At 43.0% G+C, this 14,044-nt stretch overlaps 1 long non-coding RNA gene and 1 pseudogene across 1 annotated transcript in view; one reads left to right on the forward strand and one right to left on the reverse strand.

Annotated features, from left to right (window-relative positions):
* CSTF3-DT (CSTF3 divergent transcript) overlaps positions 1–3,672 on the forward strand; it is a 29,942-nt gene extending 26,270 nt beyond the window's left edge. Inside the window, exons 2-4 of the long non-coding RNA NR_034027.1 lie at positions 844–924; positions 1,442–1,631; positions 2,007–3,672. This is a non-coding gene — a long non-coding RNA (CSTF3 divergent transcript). The remainder of the gene's footprint in view (positions 1–843; positions 925–1,441; positions 1,632–2,006) is intronic.
* Positions 1,996–2,624, reverse strand: RPL29P23 (ribosomal protein L29 pseudogene 23; annotated as a pseudogene).
* Positions 3,673–14,044: the final 10,372 nt, after the last annotated feature.

Raw genomic sequence — 14,044 nt, forward strand, 5'->3', positions numbered from 1 at the left:
CATTTCTCCAATTTAATTGCTTTAAAATGTTACCATTGGGTGCCATCCCAGAACCCCATGGGGAAGGCTGTTAAGAAGTCCCAGCTCTATTCCTCTATTCTAACCTCCCTCAGCGTCTCTTTCTTGCTTTCAGCCAGCTCCCAAAGGATTCAGCACTCATTCTTCCACTCCTCGCAGCTGTCACCACCAGCTCTGTTTCCTGGGGTTCCTCCCCAACCTCATCCCACCCAAGACTGGTTATGATCTGACCTAGTTTCCTTAGCACCCCCCTTCCTTTCTATCTCTGAAAATAAGTATGAACACTGTTTACACACTGAGGGTACAGAGCATTAAGACGAACCTGTAATCCAGCTGTCTCTGCCATTATCATGCACATATCCTTTGTGGGAGACTCATCCACCGTCACGTGCCTGACTTCCCCTTAGAATCTGCAAAGAATAAAATCGCTATGTTTAGTTGTCTTTTTTTTTTCAAGAATGTGTCTTTTTAGCTAGTACCCCTTTCCCTAGAGTGGCTGCTTACTGCATACACAATGATTGTGGCATGAAATAATTAAACGATAAAATCCCAGGCTGCTGTTGAATAGTGTCAGAAGGAGGTTGGTACTCTGCACTTAGCTACCCAGACCTGCCACACACATTTACAGCCACCACCTGGCCTCTGTAAGCATCAGAGTTTCCCGTTTCTGACCCCTCTCACTGAAAGTTTATCAAGATCAGCCAATCATGTGTATACATTTCTAGTGTGTGCTACTAAAAGAGTACTACCTGGATTCAGAAGTAGTATGTTCAAGCCTTGGATTTCCCCAGTATTAGGTGGGCAAGCATGGCACTCTCTCCACAGGGTTCTTTTAACTCTTCTCTCCACACCCGCACTGGAGACCACTGGTAACCATCTGTGGCCATCACCTAAACTCTCACCCAGGTAAGAATTCAAGATCCCTTTCCTTTAACCTGTTTCTAACCATCTCACTTATTAGCACTCCTTCAGTTCCAAGCTGGTTGAACTTACATCTTGGCTTTCTCTTAGTTTTCCCTGGATTTAATTATTTAGGCCTCTTTTTTTTTTTTTTTTTTTTTTTTGGAACTGACCTGGTAACACCATAGAATGCTGCCTCTGGCAATTTCCTTTGACCCAGTAGGAAAATTAGGAGCAGGGCTTGTTTTATTTCTCTTATCGACAGTGCCAGAATGGTGTCCACTGTATATTGTGTGCACACATCATCACATTTTTTTGTGTGACTGTTTGTTTGTTTGTTGTTGTTGTTGTTGTTGAGATGGAGTCTCCCTCTGTGGCCCAGCCTGGAGTGCAGTAGTGCAATCCTGGCTCACTGTAAGCTCCGCCTCCCAGGTTCATGCCATTCTCCTGCCTCAGCCTCCCAAGTAGCTGGGACTACAGGCGCCTGCCACCATGCCCGGCTAATTTCGTTTTGTATTTTTAGTAGAGATGGGGTTTCACCATGTTAGCCAGGATGGTCTCGATCTCCTGACCTCATGATCTGCCCGCCTCAGCCTCCCAAGTGCTGGGATTACAGGCGTGAGCCACAATGCCCGGCCCACGTTTTGCTGTTAATAATGATGGTGCTGAAGACTATGGCTTTGATGACTAGTTCTGCTTTAAGAAAACATTCCGTAAGTCTTCATCATTGCAGTGATATATATTTCCTTGCAGTGATATATATGTATATATTTTTATATATACAGCCTACAAGGGGACAATATGGCACAGTGAGTATGATCATGAACTTTGAAGCCGGACTTTTTGTGTTCAAACCCTTGCTCTGTCACTTTCTAGCTAGGTGAACTTAGCCAAGTTACTTAACTCTCTAGGCCTCAATTTCTTCACCTGCTGCTTCATAAGTTGGGGATAATGACAGTACTCAACTTCCTTGGGTTGTTATGAGGATTAAATGAGTTAACATTAGTAATGCTCTTGGAACAGCGTCTGACACATCATAAGCACAAAAGTGTTTGTTAGATAAAAAGTGATTTTTTTTCCTGCCTTAGGTTGATTTGTACAAATAGCACAAGAGGACACCAACTCCATGCAGATGGCAGCCCAGCAGGTCACACCAGTCCTTCTGTCCTCACACTGGCAGACAGAGGCCTCCTCTCTGGAGTCTTCACAGGGGCCTGAGCTAGAGCTGGAAATGCAGCTGGAGCTGCAGCCAAAGCTGGGGCTGCAGGGCCTTGATTTGAGACTTGGCCTTGGTCTTGGGTGGGCAGAGGTAAGACCCTTGGCAATGCAGGCAGGAGCACGCTTCCCGAGCTTGGGGTAGGCAATGTAGGCAAGTCAATTGAGCTTCTGGATGATGTGCTTTGGGATTTGGGACTTAACCTCCTTGGCCTTTTTGAGGACTTTGATAGACTTGGCATACAGACACATGGCATTGGTACTGTTGGCCCGCTTCTTATTCACGCCCTTCTTGTTGTGCTTCTTGGCAAAGCACATGTTCCTCAGGAACTTGGGGTCTACCCCATTAAGAGGTTTGTATCTTTGTTATCACAGTTTCTTGATGTCATTTCTGTACCATTTTTGGGACTGGTTGTGTGTGGTGTGGTTCTTGGACTTGGCCATGTCTACATCATAACCTGTGGCTCCAGAAGCTCTTGGGACCAGAAGAGAAAGAACCAAAAAGTGAATTTTATTTTAAAAAAATGTTTTGAGACAGGGTCTCATTCTGATGCCCAGGTTGGGGTGCAGTGGCACAATCATGGCTCACTGCAGCCTCAACCTAGCCATCCTCCTGCCTCAGCCTCCTGAGTAGCTGGGACTGCAGAAGTGCACTACCATGCCCAGCTAATTTTTGAAATTTTCTGCAGAGACAAGGTCTCACTATGTTGCCCAGGCTGGTCTCAAACTCTTGAGCTTAAGTGTTCCTCCTACCTCGGCCTCCCAAAGTACTGGGATTATAGGTGTGAACCACCATACCCAGGCTCAAAAAGTGAATTTAAAAATAAGTAACTGCTAGATAGTATTAAAATATTATCATTTGGAACAAGTGAAAAATATTTTCACGTAGCCAGGCTGAGTTCCAGAATGAATTTAGTTTAATTGCTTTGCTTAATTTTTTTTGAGACAGAGTCTCACTCTGTTGCCCAGGCTGGAGTGCAGTGGCGCGATCTTGGCTCACTGCAACCTCTGCCTCCTGAATTCCAGCGATTCTCTTGCCTCAGCCTCCTGAGTATCTAGGATCACAGACGCCTGCCACTATGTCTGGCTAATTTTTGTATGTTTTTCAGAGACAAGGTTTCGCCATGTTGCCTAGGCTGGTCTCTAACCCCTGAGCTCCGGTGATTCACCCGCCTCAGCTTCCCAAAGTGCTGGGATTACAGACATGAGCCACTGTGCCGGCCTGTTTTGCTTAATATTGATTGCTTTTAGTTTCAGCTTTCAATCACAAAAGACAATCATGCAGTAGATAATTAAGTGTAATATGGATTACTTTGAAACTTAGCAATGAGAGTCTTTTTTTTTCTTTTTATACAAAATTCCTCTAAAATGGGAATATTTTTCACATAAAATAAAGGGAAACTTAGAAAATGTGTCTAAGTATAATGGAAGCATTCAAATGTTTGTTTTAAGCTTTCTAATACATTTATTTGTACAGATCAAGACTTACTAATATGCTAAAAAGGAACAGTTAAAATAAACTATTGTACATTCTTAAAATGGTCTACTGTGCAGCTGTTTACAAGAATGCAGTAAATTTATATATACTCATGTGGGACAGCCATCCAGCTATCTCATGATTAAAAAAGGAATGTGTAAAACACTATGTATGGCATGCACATATTCCAGAACAGTGTTCTTAAATGGATATCTTAGTCTGTTTTCTGTTGCTTTTAACAGAGTACCTGAAACTGGGTATTTTATAAAGAAACAAAATGTATTTCTTACAGTTTGGAGGCTGAGAAGGCCAAGGTTGAAGGGCTGAATCTGGTGAGGGTCTTCTTGCTAGAGGGGACTCCGCAGAGGCTGGAGGTGGCACAGAGCATCAGGTGGTGAGGAGGCTGAGAGTGCTAGCTCAGGTCGCTCTTCCTTTTCTTATAAAGCTACTCACATAACTCATTAATCCATTAACCCATGACTCTATTAATCCATGAATGGATTAATCCATTCATGAAGGCAGAGAATTCATGAGTCAATCACCTCTTAAAGGTCCACCTCTCAGCAGGGCGTGGTGGCTCCTGCCTGTAATCCCAGCACTTTGGGAGGCCGAGGGTGGATCATGAGGTCAGGAGTTCGAGACCAGCCTGGCCAATATGGTGAAACCCCGTCTTTACTAAAAATACAAAAATTAGACGAGTGTGGTGGAACGTGCCTGTAGTCCCAGCTATTTGGGAGGCTGAGGTAGGAGAACTGCTTGAACCCGGGAGGTGGAGGTTGCAGTGAGCTGGGATCATGCTACTGCACTCGAGCCTGGGCGACAGAGCGAGACTCCGTTTCAAATAAAAAAATAAAAAAAAAGGTCCACCTCTCAATACTGCCACATTGGGATTAAATGGATTAAATTTCTACATGAGTTTTGGAGGGCACAAATATTCAGACCATAGCAATGGGTCACACTCAAAATTAGGGATATGAATAAAGCAACATTATTCTTTACTTTTACTGCCTCTTTAAACCTTGAAGGAAATTTTGTGTGGATGCCTCACAACTTTTTTGATCACTCAGATAATATGAAGTCCCCTAGCACTTTTATTTCCAATAATAGTTTCAGTGCTGTAATTAAACTGGCCAGTCCAGTGAAATAATGGAAACACGAAGCCCCTGTATGAATGAGAGCTCATTGCTTCCTCCAGCTCAGCTTTGCTTTAAGCACGAGGAAGAGGGGCAGCCTGGGAGGCTTATTACAGCTCAGTTTCTTGGCTTTGGGCTTCTATTGCTCCTCTCCCCTAAGCAACTCGGATGCCCCAGGGTTGAAAAGAAAAGGAAGAAATAACGGACGGGAAAGCCTTTACTGAACTGGTGACCAGGTAATTCTTGTTGGGGCCTTCTAGGAGTAGCAGATACTGGTTCTTATTCTTTCTCTCTTCTACAGTTTTCTCAAAGACCCCTCCCATTGGAGACTTCCAGTTGCAATTCCTGTGATGTAGTTGATGCTTTTCTCTGGCAGCCTACTTACACCTCCATCCCTCAGCACTTGGATGTCTGATGGTTCAACTCAAACACACATTCTTTTGGAATCCCATGTCCTTCTAGGCAGCCCAATTGGGCAAGGTCCTTTTAAAGTCAATTTCAGGTTGGTTTTTGCCCATGAGTTCACTTGGCCCTCATGTTAATGCAGACCACTCCCAGAGAAGCCTCGCTTCTCTCCATTCCCTGCCTCTTCATGCTGCAAACCATATATCACCTTAGATTTTCCGGATGTGCCACAACTCTGGGGGATGCCATCCCAGCCCTGGAAGTGGTGGTTTGGGTTTGGGCTTGGGTTTTTTGTTTGTTTGTTTTTTGAGATAGGTTTGGTTTTGCTCTGTCACCCAAGCTGGAGCAATACTTCCACTTCAGCCTTCCGAGTAGCTGGGTCTGCAGGCATCGGCCACCATGCCCAGCTATTTTTTTTTTTTTTCCAGAGACAGAGTTTTCCCATCTTGTCCAGGCTGGTCTCAAACTCCTGGGCTTGAGCAGTCCACCCACTTCAGTCTCCAGAGTGGTGGGATTACAGGTCTGAACCACCTTACCCAGTCAGAAGTGGTGTTTTTGAAGACTTATTTTGTTTTGTTTTGTTTTGTTTTTGAGATAGAGTCATGCTCTATTGCCCAGGCTGGAGTACAGTGGTGGAGTCTCAGCTTACTTCAATCTCCACCTCCCGGGTTCAAGTGATTCTCCTGCCTCAGCCTTCCAAGCAGCTGGGATTACAGGCATCTGCCACCACACCCAGCTAATTTTTGTATTTTTAGTAGAGACAGGGTTTTATCATGTTGCCCAGGCTGGTCTTGATCTCCTGACCTCAGATGATCCACCTGCCTCGGCCTCCCAAAGTGCTGGGATTACAGGCATAAACCACTGTGCCTGGCCTCTTTTTGGTTTAAGATAAGGGAAAACACCAAAAAAAAAAAAAAAAAGATAAGGGAAAACACCATCCTCTTGGCCCTCATGAACATGAGGAAAACACACAGAGATAACACACTCCAAAGAAAATTCCCTTCTTATGGCCACTTCAGTGCGAAGCCTTTTATACCCTCAAGATTGGTCTAAGGTTCATAAGGCCAGTTTTTTATTCTTGTATTTGTAAATCCTCTTTGGGAGGTAGCCATTCTCTTTGGAATGTGAGTGTTTACGATATCTACTATTTTTCTCCTAATTTTTGAGGGTATAACTGAAACTAAGAAAGGATCTCATTATAACATTCTTTTTAACTTATATATCCAGAGAATACTTCTTCAAAAAATATTTTAAAAAATGAAAATTTCAACAAATCTAAAGATCTAATTAGCTTTTAGTAGTGATTCATGAATTGGGCATCATTCTGTCCAAAACAGAGGGAGCTCTGTTGGCCATGCAGAAGAGTTGGTTTTTGTAAGGTAGCCTGAGCAGAAACGAGGAAACAGAAAAATTTTAAAAAGTAGATGGGTTAAGATAAGTTTACGTCAAGGTACTTTCACTGTAAGGATTAAATCATGTCCTTATCACGTCAACCTGTTTTTAGGAAAAACTGGCCTGTTTGGGGATTTCCTTGCTTCCTTAAAGTTTTAGCTTGATTATGTAGCACTTAGCATGAATGACTCCATTTTGGTTTGGTCTGTTGGGGCCTGGTGCAAGAGCTCAGTCTAAAACAATGGCCTCCTATAAATTTTATTTAATAAAGGATACCTGAGAAATGGATGCCTACCTCCAGGGTTTGGGGAAAGGGTTGTGGAGGGAGACATTTCACTGTATAGCCTTTAACGCCTTTTAAATCTTATACCATGTTCATTTGTCACCTATTCCACATATCTAATCATGTCCTAAAATGCTTCCTGTTGCAATAGCAGAAAAAAAAAACACACTAAAAAAATGAGGTTTGGGCTGGGCACGGTGGCTCACACCTGTAATCCCAGCACTTTGGGAGGCTGAGGCAGGTGGATCACCTGAGGTCAGGGGTTCAAGACCAGCCTGATCAACATGGTGAAACCCCATGGCTACTAAAAATACAAAATGAGCCATGCATGGTGGTGTGCACCTTAATCCCAGCTACTTGAGAGGCTGAGGCAGGAGAATCACTTGAACCCGCGAGGCAGAGGTTGCAGTGAGCCAAGATCACGCCATTGCACTCCAGCCTGGGCAAAAAGAGAAACTCCATCTAAAAAACAGAAAAAAAAAACAAACAAAAACAAATGAGGTTTGTTTTAAAAGCAAAATTATAACTCAAGGCACAAAGTGAAGAATTGATGTATATGTACATTTACATACCAAGAAAGGCACTTTGTCTTTAATTCTCCATATATCTTAGTTCTTCTTCTTTTTTTTTTTTTTTTTTTTTTGGCTAACTTACATTGTCACAATTCCTCACTGCTTATTTACACCTTTCTGGTACCATCAAACTGATAAATTATGGTTGATTTCATTGTGCTTCAATCTTGTTTACATCTGATTTTGAGTCATAGAACTGCAAAATTTGAAGGAAGCTTAAATATTATTGTGTAAGTGTTCCTTGGGTCATGGCTGACAAAGCTGAGGCCCTCATACAGTCATCACAGCAGAGACACACTCCAGGAAGCCTTTTGCAGAACAGTGAACCGGCCTGGCTTTTGTTGTGTATGTTTGTTTCCTTTTTTTTTACGTTTAATGCAAGTGTTGAAGATAAATGAATGTACCCACTCTATTATATAACACAATGACAGCCTTTGTTCCTCCCTGGTGCTATCCTTAGGGTAGGACTCAGTGTTTCTCTTTATTTATCAAAAGAAAGTTCATTCTATAAGGCACTAGAGGGAAGATTTTGTAGAGAAGGTGGACTGGAGAGTTACATCATATAACACACAGTAAAATTTAATGAAAGTCCCTGTTAAACAGTTTTGTTCTTCCCGTAAATTCATCTCCAGACAACAGCTGCCCCCTCTCCCTTATAACCCTTTTTTCAGGCAGGCTGTTTAGGCCTGCCTGGTTACAATCAGGTTTCCAGCCCCAGGGATCTTCTTTCCAAACTCCTAAATCACTCCTTTTTCTCCTGCAGAGTAATTTAGCTCTCTCCTGGTTTCTTCAATTTTGTATCTTCACACCTGAAATTCCGTTCATCTAATAATCTACTTCCATTAGAAGAAAGTAAGTAATCCACAAAATTTTTAAAATATTGGTTTTTAAATTTATCTATTTAGGCCAGGCATGATGGCTCCCGCCTGTAATCCCAGCACTTTAGGATGCCGAGGCAGGCGAGTCACCTGAGGTCAGGAGTTTAAGACCAGCCTGGCCAACTTGGTGAAACCTCATCTCCACTAAAAATACAAAAATTAGCTGGGCATGGTGGCAGACACCTGTAATCCCAGCTACTTGGGAGGCTGAGGCAGGAGAATCGCTTGAACCCGGGAGGTGGAAGTTGCAGTGAGCCAAGATCATGTCACTGCACTCCAGCCTGGGCAACAAGAGTGAGACTCCATCTCAAAAAAACAAAAGAAATGAAAAAATTTATTTATTTATTTTAAGGCTAGTCAAGTGGAAGCAGTGGAAATAGAAACAAAGAAATCTGTAACTGGTTGTGATCAATTAGTTGTAAACACCACTGCACAGCCTAAAAATATTTGTCTCAAAATAATTTTTTCTTCATGTCACATTACAAGACAGCAACAATAAGTAAGCACAGAGTCCGGGTTGATACAGTTCAGGACATTTGGTATCGCAAAACCCCAGAATATTAGAGCTATAAAGGCCCTGACTTAACAGATGAAGAAACTGAGACCTAGAATAATATCCTGTTAGTTGACCTCCAGAATCTGTTTTCTCTTCTCCTACAGTGATAGATTTATAGCTTGGTGTGGCCATGACTAAATTCTCACCAATGGAATGGAGACACAGGTGACTTGTGCAGATTCCAAGTTGCCTGTTTAAAAGGAAGTTGTTGGCTGGGCGCGATGGCTCACGCCTGCAATCCCAACACTTTGGGAGGCCAAGGTGAGCGGATCACGAGGTCAGGAATTTGAGACCAGCCTGGCCAATGTGGTGAATCTCTACCAAATGTGGCCATCTCTACCAAAAAAAAAAATACAAAAATTAGCCGGGCATGGTGGTGCATGCCTGTAGTCCCAGGTACTTGGGAGGCTGAGGCAAAGAATCTCTTGACCTGGGAGGCAGAGGTTGCAGCGAGCTGAGATGATACCACTGCACTCCAGCCTGGGCAACAGAGTGAGACCCTGTCTCAAGAAAAATTAAAAAAAAAAAATTTTTTTAAAGGAAGTTTCTTGTTCTTCATCTCTTTTCCCCCATTCTCTTGAACAAGAAATCAGGCTTGATAGCAACACAACTTGGAAGATTCGGACAAAAAACGATACCCTACCATCTCGCTATTCTGTGTGCTCCACGTGTAAGTAGCATCAGCATCACCTAAGAACTTGTTAGAAAGGTGGAATCATAGGACTCACTCCAGACATACTGAATCAGAGCCTGCAGTTTAACAAGATGCTCATGTGATTCACCTTCATATTAAAGTTTGGGAAGAACTGATTTAGAAAATAGCAGAGCCAGGAGATGGAATCAGGATTCCTGATTGTCACAAGCTAAACTACACTGACAACTTGGACCACTTACTCCCCCCACCCCCAATTTTCAATTTTGGTAAAATACACATAACATGAAATTTACCACCTTAACCATTTTTAAGTGTACTGTTTAGGGATATTAAGTACCTTGCAACCATCACCACCATCCATTGCCTGAATTCTTTCATCTTGCAAAATGGACACTTGAAACTCTACACCTATTTTTTTGTTTTCTTTTGTTTTGTTTTGAGACAGAGTCTCACTCTGTCACCCCGGCTGGAGTGCAGTGGCGCAATCTTAGCTCACTGCAACCTCTGCCCCCCCAGGTTCTAGCGATTCTCCTGCCTCAGCCTCCTGAGTAGCTGGGATTACACGCGCGTGCCACCACGCCCAGATAATTTTTGTATTTTTAGTAGAGATGGGGTTTCATCATGTTGGTCAGGCTGGTCTCGAATTCCTGACCTCGTGATCCGCCTGCCTCAGCCTCACAAAGTGCTGGGTTTACAGGCGTGAGCCACCTCACCCGGCCAAAACTCTATACCTATTAAACACCTCTCCGCTCACTCCTCCCACCAGCCCCCAGTAACCACTGTTCTACTTTCTCTTGAACTCATCTATTTTTGGATTGTTGAGAGAGACTTAAGCCACGGTATTTTGGGATGTACTGCTCAGATTTCCCCTTTTTAGGACCAAACCACTCATTTTCTCAGCTACTGAGAGTATTGGCAAATGACAGACTAAGTTCAGTTCCTCTTCAGAAATTGCCCTTGGCTGAAGAGAGATACTTAACCCAAAGTCTTTCCAGAGTCAGTCAGTCCACATCCAATGGGTACAGCAGCCAATGCAAGTATTAATACTAGTTGCCTTGCCCCAGTTTGGGATAATGCCAAGGGATCATTCCAACTACAGAGTTTCTCTTGATTTATTGCGATTGCATCACAATTCAACTTTTTCCTCTGCCTAATTCTTCCTTTCCTCCTCCACAGGGTTGATCTGGTTAATATTCCCCAATAAACATCATTTTGTATCCTTGGCCTAGGCATAAGAGCTGTACTAGTGATGAAGGCCATGACTCTACTCCCTCTCCCTCATGAAGCCCCGGGCCCAGCCCCTGCCTGCCAAGATAATACAAAATCATATACATTTTGGGGGTAACGACAAAGATTGGTGCTATTTATATAAAGCCTAAAGGGTGCAGTGGCCATGGTCCCCACAATATCTCCATTCTAAAAATCGGCCAAAACATCTTCCAAAGTAACTGTATTTTGCATTCCCAGCAGCATTTTGCATTCCCAGCAGCAATGAGTAAGAGTTTCAGCTTATCAGTTAAAAAAAAAAAAGTAGTCATTTTAATCGGTGTGTAGTTGTATCTCATCATAGTTTTAAGTTGCATTTTTTTCTTCTTTTTTTTTTTTTTTTTTTTTTTTTTTTTTTTTTTTTTTTGAGATAGGGCCTCACTCTGTCACCCAAGCTGGAATACAGTGGTGCAATCTCGGGTCACTGAAACCTCTGCCTCCTGGGCTCACATGATCCCCCACCTCAGCCTCCCAAGTAGTTGAAACCACAGGCACTTACCACCACACCCAGCTATTTTTTTGTATTTTTGGTACAGATGGGGTTTCACCATGTTGCCCAGGCTGGTCCTCCAACTCCTGAGCTCAAGTGATCTCTCTGCCTTGGCCTTCTGAAGTGCTGGGATTACAGGTGTGAGCCACTGAACCCAGCCTCAGTTGCATTTCTTTAATAACTACTAACATTGAGCATCTTTTCTTTTCTTTTCTTCTTTTTTTTTTGAGGCAGAGTTTCGTTCTTGTCGCCCAGGCTGCAGTGCAATGGCGCCATCTCTGCTCACTGCAACCTCTGCCTCCCAGGTTCAAGCGATTCTCCTACCTCAGCCTCCCGAGTAGCTAGGATTACAGATGCCTGCCACCACGCTCAGCTAATTTTTTGTATTTTTAGTAGAGTCAGGGGTTTCACCATGTTGGCCATGCTGGTCTCTAATTCCTGACCTCAAGTGATCCACCCTCCTCAGCCTCCCAAAGTGCTAGGATTATAGGAATGAGCCACCGTGCCTGGCCTTCATGTTCTTATTCTTCATCTGTTCTATTACTTGGTAAAGTGTCTTTTCAATTCTTTTGCTTATTTAAAAAAAAATTGAATTGTTTGTTTTCTTTTTTTTTTTGAGACAGAGTCTCACTCTGTCACCCAGGCTGGAGTGCAGTAGCGAGATCTCGGCTCACTGCAACCTCTGCCTCCCAGGATCAAGCAATTCTCCTGTCTCAGCCTCCCAAGTAGCTTGGAGTACAGGCACACTCCAGCATGCCTGGCTAACTTTTGTCTTTTTAGTAGAGATGGGGTTTCACCATACTGGTCAAGCTGGTCTCTCGAACTCCTGACCTCAGGTGATCCACCCGCCTTGGCCTCCCAAAGTGCTGAGATTACAGGCCTGAGCCACCGTGCCCGGCCTGTTTGTTTTCTTATTAAGTTTTAAGAGTTCTTTGTGCATTTTGGATACACATTCTTCATCAGATATGTGTCTTGCAAATATTTTCTCCCAGTCTGTGACTTGTCTTTTCATTTTTTACTGTTGTCTTTTGCAAAGCAGAAGTTTTTAATTTTAACGAAATTCAACTTAACAATTTTTTTATTTCGTGGACTATGCTTTTGGTGTTGTATCTAAAAGCTTATTGTCGGCCAGGTGTGGTGCCGCACACCTGTAATCCCAGCACTTTGGGAGGCCAAGACCAGTGGATCACCTGAGGTCAGGAGTTCACGACCAGCCTAACATGGTGAAACCCCATTTCTACTAAATACAAAAAAATTAGCTGGGCCTGGTGGTGCATGCCTGTAATCCGAGCTACTTGGGAGGCTGAGACAGGAGAATCGCTTGCATCTGGGAGGTGGAGGTTGCAGTGAGCCGAGATCGTGCCATTACACTCCAGCCTGGGCAACAAGAGCGAAACTCCGTCTCACAAGGAAAAAAAAAAACAAAACAATTTATCACCAAACTCGAGGTCACCTAGAGAACACAGAAATATTTTCTTCCAGAGATATTACAGTTTTGCATTTTACATTTAGTTCTAAGATCCACTTTGAGTTAATTTTTGTGAAAGGTATAAGGTGAGGTGTATATCTAGATTCTTTCTTGCTTTCTTTTTCTCTTTTATGCACACCAAATCATTCCAGCACCATCTTTTCTCTATTGAACTGCCTTTTCTTCTTTGCCAAGGATCAGTTGGCTACATTTGTGCTGGCCTATTTCTGGGCTCTGTAGACTCTTCCATGGATCAATGTGTCCTTCCTTCCTTCCTTCCTTCCTTCCTTCCTTCCTTCCTTCCTTCCTTCCTTCCTTCTTTCCTTCCTTCTTTCCTTCCTTTCTTCCTTCCCTCCCTCCCTCCTTTCTTTTCTTTTTCTTTTCTTTCTTTTCTTGAGAGACAGGGTCTTGCTTTGTCACCCAGGCTGGAGTGTGGAATGCAGTGGTGCAATCATAGCTCACTGCAGCCTCGAACTCCTGGGCACAAGTGATCCTCCCGCCTCAGCCTCCCAAGTAGCTAGGACTACAGGTGCGTGCCACCATACCCAGATAATTTATTTAAAATTTTTTGTAGAGATGGAATCTTGTTACGTTGCCCAGGCTGGTCTTGAACTTCTGGCCTCAAGTGCTCCTCTCACTTCGACCTCCCAAAGTGCAGAGGTTATAGGTGTGAGCTACTCGACCTGACCCTATATATGTATTCTTTTGTCACTACCATGCCATCTTTGCCCCTTAACTTTATTGAGGTATGATTGACAAATAAAAATTGAATATTTTTAAGGTGTACAATGTGATGTTTTGATATATGTGTACATTGTGAAATGATTACCACAATCAAGCTAACTGATATATCTATCATATCATTTAGTTACCATTGTGTGTGTGTGTGTGTGCGTGTGTCTGCAGTGTGAGAACACTTGAGTTCTACTCTCTTAGCAAATTTCAAGTATACTATACATTGTTATTCACTATAATCACCATGCTGAACATTAAGTCTCCAGAACTCATTCACCTTATAACTAAAAGTTTGTACTCTTTGACTAATTTCTTCCCTTTGCTCCCATCCCCCAGCCCCTGGTATCATTCATTCTACTCTCTGTTACTATGGGTTCAACATTTTTTTAGATTCCACATACAAGTGAGATCATGCCATGCTGTCTTAATTACTGTACCTTTAGAGTAAGTCTTGCTATTAGATGGTGTGAGTCTTCCAACTTTGTTCTTCTTCAGTATTGTGTTGGCTATTTTAGATCTTTTGCTTTTCCATACAAACTTCAGAATCATTTTGTTGGCCAGGCACGGTGGCTTACACCTGTAATCTCAGCACTTTGGGAGG

This window comes from Homo sapiens, chromosome 11, assembly GCF_000001405.40.
Source record: "Homo sapiens chromosome 11, GRCh38.p14 Primary Assembly".
NCBI classification, from domain to species: domain Eukaryota; kingdom Metazoa; phylum Chordata; class Mammalia; order Primates; family Hominidae; genus Homo; species Homo sapiens.